Source organism: Homo sapiens, chromosome 1 (assembly GCF_000001405.40).
Source record: "Homo sapiens chromosome 1, GRCh38.p14 Primary Assembly".
Classification (NCBI taxonomy): domain Eukaryota; kingdom Metazoa; phylum Chordata; class Mammalia; order Primates; family Hominidae; genus Homo; species Homo sapiens.
Window position 1 is genome coordinate 28,034,919 of NC_000001.11, and position 20,522 is coordinate 28,055,440.

Here is a 20,522-nt window from a genome sequence, read left to right on the forward strand (position 1 = left end):
CACAGATATTAAGTGCCCAAAGAACCTTAAAGTGACTTCTGATAAATCATTTTAATTTATAGTTCATGTCCAAGACACCTAAAACCAATGAAAATAACTCCCTAGGCACATAAGGTTATAAGAAAATTGGGGATTTCCGGTATTCTAAAATGACTTTTTGGTTCAGCAGAACAATATCTGATCAGTTTTGGGTGGGGTTAGGGGAGAAAGGAGAGGGAGAAGTTGGCAAAAAAAACCCCACAGAGCAAACTATGATACATATTCAGACTACCTGGTGTTAGCAAGAAATTGGCCACCTCGAAATATATTTATTATGCTTTCCTAATGATAGTACCATACTACATTGTATATAAAGTAAGTCAAATCAATAGCAAATCCTCAAAGAATTTACCAAACACTTAAAGATTCCAAGCTTCAGGGTCAAGACTTAGTACATACAAAATAGCTAAATGAGTACTGAAAAACTATGATTTTTTTATTACATGCATCAAACATACTGTTGCAAAGTTGCATACCCAACCACATATGTAACTAAGTGCTTTGTAAAGAATGATGCATGGCTGATCAAAGTTTCTGCGGAATAAAATCAACATTCTTAGAAATTGTTTACAATACAGTGCCTTACCAAAAGGAGGTAGTCCATACGTTTGGGTTGCCTGAGGGTAGACAGCATAGGGTTGAGTCTGCTGTAGTGTCTGGTATTGAGTCTGTCCAGGGTAAGCAGTTTCCGAAACAGGAACTGAGAGAATATGTGCATAAGGTCTGGAAAATTTCATGAAAACAAAAACTTTTGTGTGATTTACTTTAGTAACGAAAAATAGGTAAAATAGCTACCACCACTAACAGCAAAGAATCTGCAACAAGGAGACTAATCTTCCACATAAAATGGCTCTTTTCAAAAATTTTTTATTTTTGAGACAGAGTCTTGCTCTGTCGCCCAGGCTGGAGTGCAGTGGCATGATCTCAACTCATTGCAGCCTCTGCCTCCCCGGTTCAAGCAATTCTTCTGCCTCAGCCTCCCAAATACCTGGGATTACAGGCACCCACCACCATGCCTGGCTAATTTTTGTATTTTTAGTAGAGACGGTGTTTCACCATGTTGGCCAGGCTGGCCTCGAACTCCCGACCTCAAGTGATCCACCCACCTTGGCCTCCCAAACTGCTGGGATTACAGGCGTGAGCCACTGCGCCCGGCCTAAAATGGCTCTTATGATCAGAAAGTAGAAGTCTTTCCTCCTTTCTACGTTCTCCTATCATCAACCCAAGGAACAATTTTATGAAAAATTTAATAGTTCCAAACATCCCTCCAAGTTCCAATTATCCTACAAACATTTCTAGTGTGCTACATGCATGGCCCTATGTGAGACACAAGGATGGATTAAACTTATTCATGCTCTTATGCCTACATCTAGAATAAAATCCTAATATAATAGAAAACTAAGAGAACAAGATTGGCAATTGGCTCTCATTCTCCACCCTGCCCCTTGAACCAAACTAAAGTTCTGAGAGGGAAAGTGAGACTGGAAAAGCGGGTGAGGCTGGTGGAGAAAAGGCAAGCAAACACATCAAAAAACGGAAGTAGAGATGGGTTCCAATATCCTCAAATCAAGTCTACAAAACAGAACCCAGGTAAGTAACAAAATCTGGGAAGTTCCAGACAGGACTCAATCTCCTCAATGATATTTAAGTCAGGGCATACTGCCACTAGTTGGTGCCACCATATCAGGGATAGCTAGAGATTTCAGCAGTGAAACTCCTGGGACTTTACACTAGCTAGCAGATATAATTGTTTCATCCATGATATTGCACTGAATTTTTAGATACCAATTATCTCATTTGGTGAGTTACACTGTATATATAAGTAAAAAAGAAAATGCTATTTGTACCATGTAAGCATAATAAAATATAGCAGGGGGTGTTTTAAAGGGGAAATTTTTTTTTTCACCTTTGGGGGAAGAGGAAAATGAAGAAAGGCCATAAAGAAGTGATATACTAGCTGAGCAGATAAGAGGCACAGAACTGGGAGAGAAAGGGTGTTCTAGGACAAGAAAAAAGTCCTGGAGGGTATAGAGTAAGGAAAGCAAGGGCTTCGGCCTGCAAAGAGCACAGATAACTGAGGGAAGTATATTAAGAGAAGTAGCGAGAGAAAGGAAGCAAAGACCTTGAATGCCAGGCTAAAAGGCAAATCTGAAACTGAGAGCCACTGAAATTATTGAGCAAAGAGTGACAAGATCAGAGCTGTTCTTTAATAAAGATTATTTTGACACTGCTTTGTAAAATGGTTTAGAAAGGGAGGAGAAACTGGAAATGGAGATCCAGTTAAAAAACAGTTCAGATAAGTAATAAAGAGGTCTGAATTAAGATAGAATAATTAAGATAGCTAATAAGGAATTCTGAATGTAGCAGGTATGCAAATACTTTCTGAATGAATAAATGAATTTGGAATCTGCAACATATTAACATCTCAGTACATTCTAAAAAACTGAATTTAAAAATAACTATTCTTCTTAGCCAGATCTGAGTCCAGGAAATAGCTCAGGTTAGAGTTGTTACTCAAGTCACATGGGAATGATTTAAATCTTAGTGACCTTAAATGGATTAATCTCCAGATATGGTAAAGACCATAATGTCCTTTTTCATGCAGAGTCTTTGTAGCCCAAAGCTCAAATGTGTTTTCACATTTAGTATCTAATTTCTTCATAATAATCTCAGAGAATAGGTTCAGTTATTTCACAGAAGAAAGTCACATGAAAATGATTAGCCCAAGGACACCATTAGTGTTAATACCAGATTAAAAATTAGAAGAACTCATTGGGTTGACTTTTTAATTAGTTTATTTTTTAATTAATGAAAATTCAAAAGGTAAAAACAGATATAACCAGGGAAAAGAAAGACAGTTTCCTTTTTATAACAGCCCCATAAAGTATCTCTTGCTTTTGTTACCAATTTCTTTATGTATCCAGCAGCTGTAAGCACATAAGCACATATCCTGGCTTAATAAATGCACTTGTATGTGTCTTTGTATGCATAGGTCCACTCTTTATTACGCACAATAGGTAGCTTGGTATACACACTGTTCTGCACCTACCCACTTTGGAGATGAAAAACCTGGCTGATATTAATGCTGATCTTACCCCATGAAGGCCCAAAACATAACCTCTTAGTGACTAACCCACCAAACCTGTCTAACTTCAAGCCCGGTTCTACTCTGAGGACATTCCTCAATCAAGAAACTGAACACAGGCTGGGCGTGATGGCTCACGACTGTAATCCCAGCACTTTGCGAGGTAGGCAGATCACCTGAGGTCAGCCGTTTGAAAACAGCCTGGTCAACATGGTGAAATCCCATCTCTACTAAAAAATACAAAAATTAGCTGGGCGTGGTGGCATGCCTGTAGTCCCAGCTATCCGGGAGGCTGAGGCAGGAGAATCACTTGAACCCGGGAGGTGGAGGTTGCAGTGAGCCAAGATCGTGCCACTGCACTCCAGCCTGGGCAACAAACAGAGTGAGATTCTATCTTAAAAAAAAAAAAAAAAAAAAAAAAACCGAACACAGATTGGACTGAGAAATTCAGTCTTGTTTTTATTAATCTGTATGCTATATGTCAAGGTACAGGACAGAGAAAATGATCAGAGGTCAATCAATGATATGGTTGATCACTAACACTATTTTGCATGTTCAGTGCCTACTCATTTTAGAGTAAGCTTTTGTGTAAAATGATCCATTGCAGACACCATCTACTTTTTAAAAGGATACTACATAGACTATATTTAGAGGGAATTAAAAATTGGAATGACGATAGAATAAGAGAGGTAAAAATAATTTAAATATCTATTATTTTAGAGGAAAAATAATATTAAATTTTGCAATGAATCTACAGAAAAAGCATATGCATTTTGGAAATAATTATTCAACTTACTTTGCAGAATACATTTGTGAGGTATAATCATTGGATGAGCGAGGGATGTAATCGGTGCATGTCATAACTGAAAGAAAGATAATATCACCAGGTTAAAAAGTTAGAACATTTCGAAAATGGAATGGGAAAACTGCACATCTCACTGTATAGTCTTTCAAACTAATTAACAGAATACAGCTTGGACACCAGATAGAAAGACTATGTGGTAGAAAATATCTCACTTTTTTGTTTATACATGTGTTTATAGACTTCCAGAGGCAGTTAAAAAAAGAAGGGTGGGGTATGGAAAAGAGCTGAAGGTTGGTAAGGATCTCTACCTTTACCCATTACTGATCTAAAATAATAGATGAAGCAACCTTCTAAGCTTTCGGCTATGCTGATAGGCAAACTTAAAAAGCAAGCTTTATGTCTGGAAAACCACATTATTCTACTTCAGCTTATTTGTTCTTTGAGTGCTTACTATATTGAGTAAAAGCCTTAAGAATGACTTGCAGGAAAACAGATTTGGGGGAGGCACCCAATCTTATTTTAAAACCACTGCTACTGCTATGCATAATCAACAGCAGAATAGATGCAAGTATGCTTCTATACTATTATTTTTTCTGTTTTGTAGTGAAGGCTTTAAGTTTGGCAAATCACAGACAGACGTGAGGAACTGATGTGATACTCTGATGAACTCTCAAAGACTTTTCCAGCTATTGTCCTCTTGACCCCCATGACTTCATCTGGAATAGCTGCTATGAAGGCTTGACTCTCATGATTACTACTTCTGGTATGAACGCTGTAAATATCTGATTAAAAGTGAACCAATTAACTTTATGTCTAATTAGGTTCCCTGGAAGAGTACCTGACCCAAAAAGAGAACCTTGATCAAAAGTAGATGAGGGGCCAACTCAAATGCTCAAGAGTAAGACAAATCAACACCTGTGAGTTTATTACAGAAGAGCTTGTCCAATGCTATTGTTTGAGGTATTTAAAAATAATTATTGGAGATCACATTCACCTCTAATCATTTTGACAAAAATGAAGATGTCAATTAGATCTAAAGTTTTGACAATCCATTGCAAAGAATGTAAGGTAAGTTTATTTGAATTCTACATAATGGTTCTCAGTTGACACATATATTAAAAAACCCAAACCCTTATCTTCCTCCAATTTAATTTAATTCTGGAAGGAATCAACAACATCCTAGGAGACTGAGGCCAATTTTCACTTCTCTAGAGAATGAATGAGACTTGATCTTCACAGTACTTGGGAACCACAAAATGATTATAAAGAGTCAAGATATAATATCCATTATACTATAGAAGAATCAAGTAAGTAATATGCTGGCTTGGACTAGAATAGCAACAGTGGGGATGAGGCAAAGACTTTGAAATATATTCTGAAGGTAAAACTAACAGGACATTCTGATGGATTTGATGTAGAGAATGAGGAAAACAACTAGACGGAGAGTGATACCACTTCCTAAGATGGGCAAGTTTGGGAGAAGAGTGTATGTCACGGGGGCTAAAGGAATCGAAAGTTCTTTTTTGAAGATCTTAGGTATGATTTTCCTTCCAGTAAAGATGTCAAACAGGCAGTCTGATACACAAATGAAATCAGGGGAGAAGTCAGACTGGAAATATCAATATGGAATTCATTAACCATGTACAAGATATTTAAAGTAATGTAATGGATCGGAGAATCCCAAAAGAGGAAACATGGTAGCCTAGAATTAAGCCCTGAGGCCCACCAAAGAAGGGCCATCAAAGGAGAAAGGTGGGAGGAAAAGTACTGAGAGGGAGAATGTGAGGAGAAACGTATTCTAGAATTTGCAACATGAAAATAACTAATGGCCTTGACGACAGCAGTTTCACTGGAAGAGTGAGGATAGAAGCTAAATTTGAGAGGCTGGAAAAGTGAATGGGAGGTGAAAAAGCAAGTGAGGGCAACTCTTGCAGAAGTTCTGATATGTCACAGAACAAAGAGAAGGTCCATAACTAGTAAGAGATGTGGAGCCAAGGGCGGAGGGGCAGGGGGGGGTCGGGGGAGCAGTGTTTATGTTTTAAAATGGTAAGATGTTTCTTTACTGACAGGAAGGATAAAAAGGGAAGACCGTGATGACACACAAGTGGTGGCAAGAAAACTATAGTACCAAAGTCCTTGGGGAAGGTAAAAACAGATAGCATATGAAACACAAATAATAGCCTCTATATCTGACAAGAGCAAGTATGCTGCTTACATCCTGACAAGAAGGAAATGGCTGGGTGTGGTGGCTCATGCCTGTAATCCCAGCACTTTGGGAGGCTGAGGCCGGCAGATCACTTGAGGTCAAGAGTTCGAGACCAGCCTGGCCAACATGGTGAAACCCCATCTCTACTAAAAATACAAAAATTAGCCAGGCGTGATGGTGCGTGCCTGTAATTCCAGCTATTCGGAAGGCTGAGTCAGGAAAATGGCTTGAACCTGGGAGGCAGAGGTTGCAGTGAGCGGAGATCTTGCCATTGCATTCCAGCCTGGGTGACAAGAGCGAAACTCCACCTCTAAAAAATACAAACAAACAACAACAAAAAAATACAAAAAATAGCTGGGCATGGTGGCATGCGCCTGTAATCCCAGCTACTCGGGAGGCTGAGGCAGGAGAATCACTTGAACCCGGGAGGCGGAGGTTGTAGTGAGTCGAGATTGTGCCACTGCACTCCAACCTGGGCAACAAAGCAAGACTCCATCTCAAAAAACATAAAAAAAAAAATAAAGAACAGAATGAATAGGATGACAGTCTAAAGTAAAAATAGAAAGGTAGGGGAAGGTATAGATGTAGACTTCAAATGAACCAAAGTTTTTATTTATTTTATTTTATTTTATTTTTTGTAGCGAGGAGGTCTCACTTTGTTGCCCAGGCTGATCTCAAACTCCTGGCCTCAGGTGATCCTCCTGCCTCAGACTCCCAAAGTGTTGGGATTACAGACAAGATCCACCATGCCCAGTTGAACCAAAGTATTTGAAGGAAAAAAGGAAATTATTTGGAAGGAGCAAGAATACTCAACTTACTTCCTGACCCTGAAGTATGTAAAGTATAAGATTTTAGGGAACAGGTCTTTTTCTTGGGGATGAGTGGGAAATTCAAGAAATTAGAGGAGACACTTTACAAATTAGAGTGGTTTTCCACAAAATGGACAGTTTCCCAATGGACCAGAATCACCTGGCTAACTTGTCAAAAATGCAGATTCCCTATCCACATCAGATCTACTGAATGATAATCTTTGGAGGTGAAACTAGAATTCTACATTACAAACAAGTATTCTAGATGATTCTTATGTAGGCTAAAGGTCTGAGAACCACCAGAATAGAATCACCTTTGAGGAAACACTATATAGAACTCAAGACACACCTTTTAAAAAAAAGTTACACCTTTTTAAAAAATATACATGGGAAGTATATATGGTTAAGTATAGTTGTCTCTGATTTTCTGTAAGACACTATTACCTTTAAAACATCCAATCTCAAAACAAAAATAAAATCACGGCGTGTGACTCCTTGGGTGAGTGGACTCCATGTGATCTTTTCTCAGCTGGTCTGTCAATAAAGCTTACAGGAGGGCTCAAGGATAAACACACACAAAAACAAGGATGGGAGAGCCTTCAGGATATTTTGGGACAAACAAGGCAATTACGAAAAACCAACTCTATAAGAAAAGCATTACTAGTTATAGGAATATCTGTTCAATCATGCACAGAATATGGTACTTACTTTCCTCTGACATGGGAAGGTTTGAAGCAAGGCTTGATGTTTCAGGCTTCTGATCACTGACATCTGGATTGCTTACTTGACTGGGAGAACCAAAATGAATACATTAGCCCCTGATTGATTTGCTGCATTGCTAAAAAGTGATGAGTTCAAACCCATTTCCTCCTAGGCTATATAAGTAAGAGGCAAAGTAAATCTTCGTGATATCCTTATTGTTGATTTTTAACAACTACTTGAAGAGAGCTCGGGCCAGGGCTAGTACCCTCAGCATTCTACCGCTCTTTCTTTTTTTTTTGAGATGGAGTCTCACTCTGTCACCCAGGCTCGAGTGCAGTGGCACGATCTCGGCTCACTGCAACCTCCGCCTCCTGGGTTCAAGCAATTCTCCTGCCTCAGCCTCCTGAGTAGCTGGGATTACAGGTGCATGCCACCATGCCCAGCTAATTTTTGTATTTTTAGTAGAGACGGGGTTTCACCATGTTGGTCAGGCTGGTCTTGAACTCCTGACCTTGTGATCCACCCACCTCAGCCTCCCAAAGTGCTGGGATTACAGGTGTGAGCCACCACGCCCAGTCTACTGTTCTTTCTTATATCTCTAGATCCCTTTAGTTTTTATATAATTCAGAAATTCCAGCTAAGTCACTGGCAAGTCAGATTTTTCTTTAACACCATATGGTAAAACATTGCTCTGCCACTTTTTATTATATGTTTATGGGGTACAATGTGATGTTTTGATATATAAAACACCTTTTGCTTTTTTGTGAAAAAAAAAAAAAAAACGTGAAAACACTTAAGTTCTATGCTTTTAGCAATTCTGAAATATACAATGCTATATTATTTATTACAGTCACCATTCTGTGCAACAGTGCTCTGTTACCTTGCTCCCAAAGTACCACAGGAAGGTAGGGAGACGTTTGATTTCAGACAGTGGTTCTTGATCAGCTACAAACCATAATCATATGAGAAGTGTTTTCAAATTACACGTTTGGGCCAGGTGCGGTGGCTTACACCTGTAATCCCAGCACTTTGGGAAGCTGAGGCGGGCGGATCACTTGAGATCAGGAGTTTGAGACCAGCCTGACCAACATGGTAAAACCCCGTCTCTACTAAAAATACAAAAATTAGCCAGGCGTTGTGGTGCACGCCTGTAGTCCCAGCTACTCAGGAGGCTGAGGCCTGAGAATTACCTGAACTCAGGAGGCAGAAGTTGCAGTGATTGGAGATGGCACTACTGCACTCCTGCCTAGGCGACACAGTGAGACTCTGTCTCAAAAACAAAACAAACAAACAAACAAACAAACAAAAATTATACGTTTGTTTCCAAGCGGGGGTTCTAAACCCTTAAGATTCATTCTACTATATTTCTCTTATCTCCCAGTTAAATAAAACACAAACACCTCATTTTCTATTTGTTATATAGCCAGGACTAAGCAACATCATTTTTTTTAACTTATAAGGAAAATTAAGAGAAATTGAGAATGATAAGTCACATAAACTGGGAGGACAAGTCATTATGTTAGATAGTTTAATGCTGGGGAGATTCCACAGAAATTCTGGAATGAAGATTGTTCTAACTTTCATTCTTCAAAATGTTCTCTCTTTTCCATCTCCTCTACTTTTCATTCTTCAGTTATTATGTCCCATTATAGCACAGTGGTTAGGAGTGTTGATTCTAGAGTCAGAGGCTGCTCAAGTTCATATTCTATTCTGCCAATAACTAGCCCTATGACCTTGGACAAGTCACTGAACTTATCTGTTCCCCGCTTTCTACATCCGTCAACGAGAATAAAAATGAAACCTACCTCATAGGGCTGTCAGGAGGACTAATAAGTTTACATTTAGAGCAAAGCTAGAACACAGTAAGCACACTTTAACTGTAACTGTTATTATATTACAACTTCTTCAAAGCCCAGGCATCATTCCTACATTCATGCACCCTAGAAAGAAGCTTGCTTTGTTCTTCTACTCTCTAGGGAGAGGTGGAAGACACTGTACCAGAGGTTCTATATATCTGGAAAGATAATGCTGACTAATCAAAGGTAAGAGTAGTTTCTACACAGCAAAATTGTAAAAAGAAATGTTGCTTATATAAAAAATATATAGCACAAAATTTATAAAGTTCTCGTATCATTTCTGAAACTGACTTCTAATATTCAAGTATAATAAGGGTTTTTTTTAAATGGTATATATTTTTTGTTTGGTTGGTTTTTGTTTTGTTTTTTTGAGTCAGGGTCTCACTCGGTCACCCAGGCTGGAGTGCAGTGGCTCGATCATGGCTCCTGCAGCTTTGACCTCCCGGGCTCAAGTGATCTTCCTACCTCATCCTCCGAAGTAGCTGGGACTACAGGCATGTGCCACAACACCCAGCTAATTTTTGTAATTTTTGTAGAGATAGGGTTTCATCATGTTGCCCAAGCTGGTCTCAAACTCCTGGTCTCAAGCAATCCGTCCACCTCAGCATCCAAAGTGCTGGAATTACAGGTGTGAGCCACAGTGTCCAGCTTTAATGGTATATTTTGAATGTTCAAATAATTTTTCCTCATTTGTAATTAATTTTAAAGCTAAATCCCCAAGTAAGGTTCATTTTTATCTTGTTACTCAAATGTTTATATTTTTGTAATAGAACTTAATGTACTAAGATGTGATTATGGAAATTGAAGGGTAAGGGCAAGAAATTATATGGAATAGTTGTGTCAGTTTCCCAAACTGGGTGATTTATTATAATTACCTGAATAGTTAATAAAAATAGACTTCTGGACCCCATCTCACACCTACTTACATAGAATTACCAGGGGAAGGGCATAAAACTGAACCAGAATTTTCCTGACATCAATAACTAGTTTGACTTCTACATGTACCTGGTTAAGTATGAGGTTCACTGTTATACCCACTGTTGAAGACTATTTGTAGATCTTATATTTTAGAAGTTGGTGATATTGCTATGATCCAGTATCCACTGGACCAGTTCCTAAAACCCAATGGTCCTAGAATATTATGTTATAGCAACATCCCCTACATACTCAACTGAGCATCTAGAGAATAAATAGAAACAACAGCACCAAGACAGTGAGTTAACTCTAGCACTTGTTAAATATTTAAATTATTATCCTTAGAGAAATGACATACTGCCTCAAAATATAATTATTTTCAAAGTTATATAAACATAAATTTTGCTTAACAATGAATACACCATGAAAAAACAACTGCTCTAAAATAAAATGACCAAAAAAACCCAACAACATCCAAGTCCATAAAGTGGCACAACAAATACCTCCTTCTCATTCAACAGAACTATTAACAACACAAACAACAGATGAATGGATAAAGAAAATGCGGAACAGACATACAATGGAGTATTATTGAGCCTTAAAAAGAGGAAATTCTGACACATGCTACAAATGGATAGACCTTAAAGACATCATGATGAATCACAAAAGGACAAATACTGTATGACTCCATTTCTGTGAGGTACTTAGAGCAGTCACAATCATGCAGACAGAAAGTAGAATGGTGGTTGCCAGGAGCTGGAGATGGGGGAGTGGAGAATATTGTTTAGTGAACATGGAATTTCAGTTTGGAAAGATGAATAAAGTTCTAGAGATGAATGGTAGTGATGGTTGCAAGACAAAGTGATTGTACTTAGTGCCACTAAACTGTACACTTAAAATGGTAAATTGTATATTGTGTGTATTTTATCATAGTAAAAAAATTGCTGAAGGTAAAAGAAGAGATAATTGCAGGAAAAGATGAAGGTGATGGGTTCTTTCAAACAACTGGAGAGGTTAGCCTTCGATAAGAGCAAGGGAATTTCAGAGGAAAGATAAACAATATCCAAGAGAAGCAGATTAAGTAGGTTGATTTGGTGAGAGAAGGGAGATGTTCCTAATCTCTCTTTGAACTAGGGAGCAAGATCCACAGCTGAGTGAATGGAAATAGCAGGAAAGGGAGGGAAAAGGGAGAAGGTAGGGGGCAAGGAGGGAGGGAATAAAGGAATTAAGATGATTTTAGAGGCTGGGAAATCAGACATACCAGGAAGGGGGACTAAGTGCCTGTTTTAGATCTTATCATGAATAGAAACTAGGAACAGTTAGCACAATTTTGTGTTTTTCTCTCACGATGTACAAGTGATTGGGAATAAGTACAGAATAGGTGGATAGTTGGGTTTAATCAGGGTTGTGGTTTTGCTAGGCAAGTATGACAGAAAAAAGTGAGGAAGTTAAGAATGTTTGTAAGGGACTAATTACAGTAGATCTTATAGTTAAGTTTATTTTTCTTTCTTTTTTTTTTTTTAAATGAGACAGCATCTTGCTCTGCCACCAACCCAGGATGGAGTTCAGTGGCGCAATCTTGGCTCACCACAACTTCTGGCCCCTGGGCTCAAGCAATCCTCCTGCCTCAGCCCCGAGTAGCTGGGACTAAAGGTGTGCACCACCATTCCTGGATAATTGTTTTTGTGTTTTTTATAGAGACAGCATCTTGCTATGTCGCCCAGGCTGGTCTCAAACTACTGAACTCAAGCGATCTGCCCACCTGGACCTCCAAAAGTGGAGCCACCACACCTGGCCAGTTAAGTTCCTTTTTTTTTTTGAGACAGAGTCTTTGTCGCCCAGGCTGGAGTGCAGTGGCGCATTCTTGGCTCACTGTAACCTCCGCCTCGTGGGTTCAAGCCATTCTCCTGCCTCAGTCTCCCAAGTAGCTGGGATTATAGGCTCAAGTCACCACGCCGAGCTAATTTTTGTGTTTTTAGTAGAAACAAGGTTCCGCCATGTTGGTCTCTTATAAGGAAGAAACTAAAGTTCTTTTTAAGGGGTGATGGTGAAAAGATGACAGATGATTTAATTGATAGTTTAAGACATCATATGGCTAGCATGGCAGTTCTAGAATAAATGAGCCGGGATGATAGTGTGTGGAGGTAAAAGTGTAGGATTCTTGAAATTAATGTGGTAGAGGTGATGCAGTTACTGGCTCATATGGTTGGTGCACAAACGACAGAAGGTAAGAACTGTGGAAAACTGAAAACCATGGTATGAAGAAGCCAAACTGTGAGGTGCAAACAAGCTGCCTCTTTTCTCTTTTTTTTTTTTTTTTTGAGACAGAGTCTCGCTCTGTCGCCCAGGCTGGAGTGCAGTGGCGCGATCTCAGCTCACCGCAAGCTCCACCTCCCAGGTTCACACCATTCTCCTGCCTCAGCCTCCTGAGTAGCTGGGACCACAGGCGCCCGCCAACACGCCCGGTTAATAATTTTGTATTTTTAGTAGAGACGGGGTTTCACCGTGTTAGCCAGGATGGTCTCGATCTCCTGACCTCGTGATCTGCCCGCCTCAGCCTCCCAAAGTGCTGGGATTACAGGCGTGAGCGACCGTGCCAGGCGCAAGCTTCCTCTTTTCTATAAGAGGAGTGGGGTTAATGACTAAGTCATTTCATAACCATTTGGTAATTAATACCAAATCTCTTGGATTTTATTTATTTCGCTTATGCTTCCTATTCTGTATATTGTACGTCTGACTGAAGAATATGGTGCTTTTCATCTTTACCATTAAGTCTCCTCTATGTAGCACAGTGCCTGATATACAACATGAGTTTGGTACATATTGTTGAATAAATAATGAATGCATAAGAACAAATCAGTGCACAAGTTTCAGGAAAAAACTATTTGGAAAGGAAATTTTAATCTTAAACCAAATAATTTCAAAATGTAACAGCTGATGGTAAGAACCAAAAAGAGGGCAAAGCATGCCCATACGCTAATCAGCATGTGAAAAAAAAAAACAAAACTTATGAGTAGTTCATTAAAAAGAAAGCAAACTTTACATACCTTATAGTTTGCTCTCCTGATTCCTGCATCTTGGCTTTTTTCACCTGCAAAAATAAATATACAAAGGTATCAATGTACTTGATCTGTTTTTTAAATCATTTAGCTACTCAAACAACAGGCTATTAACTATTACAGGATAACTGTTTAATTTTGTTTAGTCTAGATTTAATTAACCCTTGTTATATTTTAGAGCTAGAAATGAAGTTTGTTTTTTAAATGGAGCTCTTCTTTTTAATGAAAAAAGTGTTCTTCTGATTAAAAAAAAACTGTTTACCAGAATTTTTACTCAAGGTAGACAGAATGTTTACTAGGATAAAGTATCCAAGCTTTGATACAAACTAGTTGGTTTTATACTGTAACAGGCAAATTATATTTAAACAAACAGTAAAGATGGGAATCTAAGTATCATCTACTCATTTATTTAACAAAAATGGCTTTATACTTAAGTTAGTTTAGTGTCAAAAATTAATATGAATTCTTATCAGGTTACCAGTAATTTAGAAAATATTGTTAACCCTGTATTTTTTCTTTTCATATTTCACATTTTCTATTTCCTTCTGGGGAGAAGGCACTTCCATTGAAACAGTGTAAGAATCCACAAATGAAAGATAATGGTTAATACTAATGGATTTTTCTGTTTTCATATTACAGAGAATCTGATTTTAGAACTCTCTGGTTAGAACTGGTTGTAGTAGAAACATGTCTAATATGCTTAGCCATTCAAATTATGAATATTTAAAAGTATTTCAAGCTAATAGAAGAAGGCAGAAACTCTCCTAGATAATTTGAAGCAAGCGTATCAGGTGGAATCATAGATATTTAATATTACATTGACTATTTCAGACAAGGTAAATAATACAGGCAAGCCCCATAAAATTTGTCGTGGCCATATACTCCTCATGAGAATACACAACCATGACCAGACATTCTTGGTTCCTTGCTTATGGCATGTCAAAATGTGTTCCATTCAATGTTCTCTTAATTTTCATAGTTACCAAAAAGGAGAAAATAAAGAAACAAAGGCAATTTAAAAAAACATTTCTAAATTTGAAACAAAAATTACATTAAAGCATTTGAAGCAAAAACAAAAAACGAAACCTTGAGGTGGGCAAATCCTGATTAAGCATGACATTAAATCCAAAAGCCATAAAGGAGAAAATAGATATGATTACACAAAAATTTTAAACTTCTATATGATAAAAGACACCATAAAACAACCAGGAGGTTGAGGGATTCCAGGATAGTATGCAGACTGTGACAAAAAAATCTAACTGTATTACCAATGTATACGACTATCTCACTGAAAGAGGTGAGGGAAATATGATCTGACCTAGATAATATAGGAAAACAGTGTTTTGCCTGGAAACTATAAGGCTAAAGACAAGAAAAATTCAACTATCTAGTTTATCTGCCTGCCATAATTTCACAAATGACAAAATATAGCCTTTTTTTATAAAATGTTCTGCCCTTCCTACCTAAAGATGATAGTAGTTACATATGGTCAGATAATAATATATTCTTCCAATAGTGGAGATGAATTTATGCTTAGCTCATCCAAAGACTCTTTGCTATCAAAGAAATGTAATTACGAGCTGGTTGGCTGAGTAACCAAAACAGTCTATACTCTTCAAACAGTAATTTAAACAAAGAAAATTAGAGCACTGAGGAGTCTAACTTATCATAGTCTTCATTTTATTAGAGGTATAGAGCAACAAATTTAGTTAATCAACTCCAAAAGAAAAAAGGATTTAAAAAAAAGGTCCTGGAGCAACATTTTTAAATTTACTTTTTATTTATTATTATTATTATTATTATTATTATTTTTTTTGAGACAGGGTCTTGTTCTGTCACCCAGGCTGGAGTGCCATGGCGTAATCTCGGCTCACTGAAACCTCTGTCTCCCGGGTTCAAGCAGTTCTTGTGCCTCAGCCTCTCGAGTAGCAGGGACCACAGGTGCACACCACCATGCCCAGCTAATTTTGCTATTTTTTCTATTTTTAGGAGAGACCGGGTTTCACCACATTGGCCAGGATGGTTTCGAACTCCTGGCCTCAAGTGATCCGTCCACCTTGGTCTCCCAAAGTGCTGGGATTACAGGCGTGAGCCACTGCGCCTGGCCAAAAATTTATTTACTTTCAAGGAAGAATTATGCTTCTTTACGCTCCTTCATTTTTAATTTATTACCGTGCCAACCCAGTGCAGAGTATATATTCATAAATAGAAAGGGAGAAAATGTATCTAAAGTCATATCTACCAAGCAGAAAAGTCTGGGGAAGGAAAGGGTGTTACAATGTTTTTTTTGTTTTGTTTTGTTTTTAACCTCATATGGCCCATTGTTTGTCTTGATTTGAGCAATTATGCCCCCCTCTAAGGCAGGGATAGGAAGCATGTACTAACTAGGCAGTAGAGGCAGGTAAATTAACTAAAGAAGACAGACAGATTTTACTCAATTATAGAAGTATCAGTTCAAACAATACAAGCTAGAAACTGACAGAAAATGATTCCTGGTTGTTAAGAGAAATAGCAAAGATTGAGCAACAATTTTCTGGAGAGTTTACAGAGTAACATAGTACTTGCAATAATGAATACTGAAAACTACACAGCAAAGTGAGCAAAGATTCAAGTAGCAACCAGTCCTACAGAGAACAATTTTCATTAACAAAACCAGTATAGATTATACAAGCAGCTGGTATCCAAGGAATTGGGGCCATACCAGGACAGTAGTAGGACAGTAATACAAGCTGCCAGGAAGTAAGAAAGCAATAAAGCTGAAAAAGCTCCGTTAGGGTTAAAAGTGAAAAAATCAGAATCTCTTTTTGCATGACATAATTTTGTATACAGAAATCCTAACGAATCCATTAAGAAACCACTAGAACTGATAAACAAGTTCAGCAAGGCAGCAAAATACAAGACAAACATACAAAAATCAATTATATTTCTATATACTTGCAGTGAACAATTCAAAAATGAAAAAAAAAATCCATTCACAATAGCATCAAAAGGAATAAAATACTTAGGAATATGGCCGGGTCCAGTGGCTCACGCTTCTAATCCCAGCACTTTGGGAGGCCAAGGCAGGTGGATCACCTGAGGTCAGGAGTCCGAGACCAGGCTGGCCAACATGGTGAAACCCCATCTCTACTAAAATACAAAAATTAGCTGTGTGTGGTGGTGCACGCCTATAATCTCAGCTACTCAGGAGGCTGAGGCAGGAGAATCGTCTGAACCTGGGAGGTGGAGGTCGCAGTAAGCTGAGATTGCACCACTGCACTCCAGCCTGGGTGACAAGGCAAGACTCTGTCTAAAACAAACAAACAAACAAAAAAACTTAGGAATAAACCTAACAGAAGAAGAAGTACAATACACGTTAAAAGAAATTTAAGAAGAGCTAAATAAATGCAAAGACACCCCATATCCAGGGAAAGAAGAATTCATCTTGTAAAGATGGTAATACTCCCCAAATTGGTCTACAGTCAATCCAATCAAAATCCCAGCTGGCTGCATTAAAGAAATTCACAAATTGATCTTAAATTTCATATGGAAATGAAAGTGACCCAGAATAGCTAAAACAATCTTGAAAAAAAAAAAAAAGAACAAAGTTAGAGGACTCACATTTTTCCATTTCTTTTTTATTTTTATTTTTTAAGACAGAGGCTCACTCTGTCACCCTGGCTGGAGTGCAGTGGTGCGATCTCGGCTCACTGCAACCTCCACCTCCTGGGTTCAAGCATTTCTCACGCCTTGGCCTCCCGAGTAGCTGGGACTACAGGTGCGTGCCACCATGCCTGGCTAATTTTTTTGTATGTTTAACGGAGATGGGGTTTCACCATGTTGGCCAGGCTGGTCTCAGATCTCAGGTGATCTGCCCACCTCGGCCTCCCAAATTGCTGGGATTACAGGCATGAGCCACTGCGCCCAGCCCCATTTTTCAATTTCAAAACTTACTATAAAGCTAGAGTAATCAAGACCGTGTGGTACTGGCATAAGGATGGATATATGGATCACTGGAACAGAATTGAGAGTCCTGAAATAGACCTCTACATTTGTTGGGTCAACTGATTTTCAAGAAGGGTACCACATTTACAGTCAAATTATTTTCAGCAAAAGTGCCACGATGATTCAACGAAGGAAGAATAGTCTTTTCAACAAATAAAGCTGAACTCGTACCTCAAGCCATATGCAAAAATTAACTGAAAATGGATCAAAGCACTAAATGTAAAAGCTAAAGCTATAAAACTCTTAGGAGAATATGTATGCTCTCATCACTTGTAAAAATATAGGCCGGAGGCAGTGGCTCACACCTGTAATCCCAACACTTTGGGAGGCTGAGGCAGGTGGATCACGAGGTCAGGAGTTCAAGACCAGCCTGGCCAAGATGGTGAAACCCCATCTCTACTAAAAATACAAAAATTAGCCAGGTGTGGTGGCAGGCGCCTGTAATCCCAGCTACTTGGGAGGCTGAGGCAGGGAACTACCTGAACCCGGGAGGTGGAGGTTGCAGTGAGCCGAGATAGTGACACTGCACTCCAGCCTGGGCAACAGAGTGAGGATTGCTTAAGGTCAGGAGTCTGAGACCAGCTGGGCAACAGAGTAAGACCCCATCTCGACAAAAAATTTAAAAAACAATTGGGTGTGGTGGCTCACACCTGTAATCCTAGGTACTCAGGAGGGTGAGATGGGAGGATTGTTTGAGCCCAGGAGTTCAAGGATGCAGTGAGCCACGATTGTGCCACTGTACTCCAGTCTGGGTGACAAAATGAGACCCCGTCTCAAAAAAAAAAAAAAAAAAAAAAAAACAGAAAAAGAAAAAAGGAAGATGCCTTAAAATTTATTCTGGTAATGGTTACAAAACCATTTTAGAATAGACTAAAAACTACTGCACTGTATACGCTAAAAGGGTGAATTGTAGGATATGTAAATTACATGTCAATAAAGCTGGTATCTTAAAAAATGACATAATCCTATGGGCATATAATGGCTAATGATAACACAAAAAGAAAGAAGCACTGACAAATTCATAAATCAGCATTCTATTTTTGCTTCTGCTACAATGTATAATCACACTTTAAATATAACACAGCAAGGAAACAAAAAACCCAGTATACAAATTCAGAATATCCAGGCTCAAGGCTAAGTTCTGAGAGTTAATTCACTGCGTGTCTTTTCTGTATCTGTTTCTTCACCTGTAAAAAAGAAGATACAACTACCTACTTCATAGGGCTCATGTTTCAACAGCAGGAAACAGCAGCATTAACAGTACAAGGATGCTGGCTGAATAAACTTAAGGATGTGCACTGTTAACATAATATGTAAAGATGAAATTTAAACAGGAAAAGAGTGAACTGCTTATGAAAAACAAAGCGCTATGTAATTGTTAAATTTTAGTGTTATTACCATAGACAGCAAGAACAAAGTTGAATCCCAGAAATTTCAAGACAGGCTTAAGAAACAGGACTCTCTAGTTAAGAAAATTGTATTAAGCATCTCAAATGTCATTCTGAAATTACTCTGTGATGACTTACAAGTAATGGCTATGAAGGTTTAAACAAGAGGCAAAAGCATGCTAGTGCTAGGTAAATTGTAATCTTGGCAATAATAAATATAATGGTAGGGTAAAAGTCGTCATGGAGACTATAAAAAGGATGTTTATGTCAAGATTTATCCAACACTGTCCAACAAACAGAAGGACACTGTTCTGTTTACTAAAAAGTCATATTCCATATGCTAGAGGGGTAAAGGGTTTGATCATAACCTAGATGAAATTTCACACAAAAAACAATTTAATGCCATTTTCATTGACTGTGCTTACTAATAGCTATCTAATTATTAATTTGACTTCAAGAACTTAACATAAGGAAAGCAGGACCTAGAGAGGGAGGTAAGCATTCCAAATTATTAGAGAGGTAAATATTTATGGCAGAGACAACTTCCTGTTCTACCACTGCATGTTAGGTGTGACTTCTGATGGAGGCAAAAAAATCTTTTTGTCTTCTCTATCAAGAAGAGTAATCTACAAAATGTAAACAATAGCATACCTAAATTTTTCAAAAAGAGTTTATTCCCATATTTATAAGCAAGCACCTCAATTATTTTAAATAAGTTCTAACCCTCCAGATTCACAGAAGCTTTATCCCATAGACCTGTAACTTAACAAACATGATTGCTAAACCAGTGTTTATCATCTCTGAAAAATCACAGAGAATAAGAGAGGTGCTTGAAACAGAATATAAAGAAATGAGGACAAGGTGGGGGACCTGCTTGAGCCCAGGAGTTCGAGACCAGCCTGGGTAACAGGGCAAAACCCCGTGTCTACTGAAAATACAAAAAAATTAGTTGGGTGTGCTGGTAGTCTCAGCTACTTGGGAGGCTGAGGTGGGAGCATTGCTTCAGCCTGGGAGGCGGAGGCTGCAGTAAGCCAAGATGGCACCACTGCACTACAGCCTGGGCGACAGGGTGAAACCCTGTCTCAAACAAAACAAAAAGAAATGTTTCACTACTTGGTTTGTTTGTTTGTTTTAATTTAAAGGTGATGGTAGAGAGGAATTAGATGCTGGAAACTATAAACTAGTGCTAACTTAATGCTGATTGATGACAGTGTTCTAAAACAGATTACTGAACAGACCTTTGTAGACACCTAGAAAGGATATGACAATCACCTGGAGCTATTATATATTTTCTCTAAGAACACTCAACATCTTTATTGATAGCTTAAAAGATTTAGGCTATAAATAGGTAAAGTATATGACGGAAAGCTGGAAAGACTAAGATTTTTAATTAAGGTATCAAAGGGTGATGATGTTACTTCTTCAGGGACTCTCAGTGTGTAAACTGTAGTGTGAGGTATTTCTTATTCTCAATCCACTGCTGTTCTTTATACTCTATTCTCCAAGTAGAGGCTGTACAATAATCAGTCAAAAGGATCCCCTCATCTGTGGATAAGATTCTTGCATTTTTAGAAGGTGATTTATAGTAATATAACAAAGTTATTTACAACTCAGTTGAAGATTGATAAGCAATAAAGGGAAAGTGAAAGAATCTGAAGTTAAAATTTATTGCAT

At 38.3% G+C, this 20,522-nt stretch overlaps 1 protein-coding gene across 17 annotated transcripts in view; it reads right to left on the bottom strand.

Moving 5' to 3' along the window:
- Positions 1–20,522, bottom strand: part of EYA3 (EYA transcriptional coactivator and phosphatase 3) — a 118,267-nt gene that overhangs the window by 64,575 nt on the left and 33,170 nt on the right. For 15 of the 17 annotated variants that reach the window (NR_104214.2, XR_007096080.1, NM_001282561.2 and 12 more), the window contains 4 exons: positions 13,465–13,508; positions 7,653–7,732; positions 3,921–3,987; positions 626–762 (listed from right to left, as the gene is read on the bottom strand). Coding sequence is in view for 15 of the 17 variants with exons in the window: in NM_001282561.2 (NP_001269490.1) it covers positions 626–762; positions 3,921–3,987; positions 7,653–7,732; positions 13,465–13,508 (328 nt within the window). In the remaining 2 variants the exon portion in view is untranslated. The remainder of the gene's footprint in view (positions 1–625; positions 763–3,920; positions 3,988–7,652; positions 7,733–13,464; positions 13,509–20,522) is intronic. The other 2 variants (NM_001282562.2, XM_047449419.1) reach the window with 1 other exon arrangement.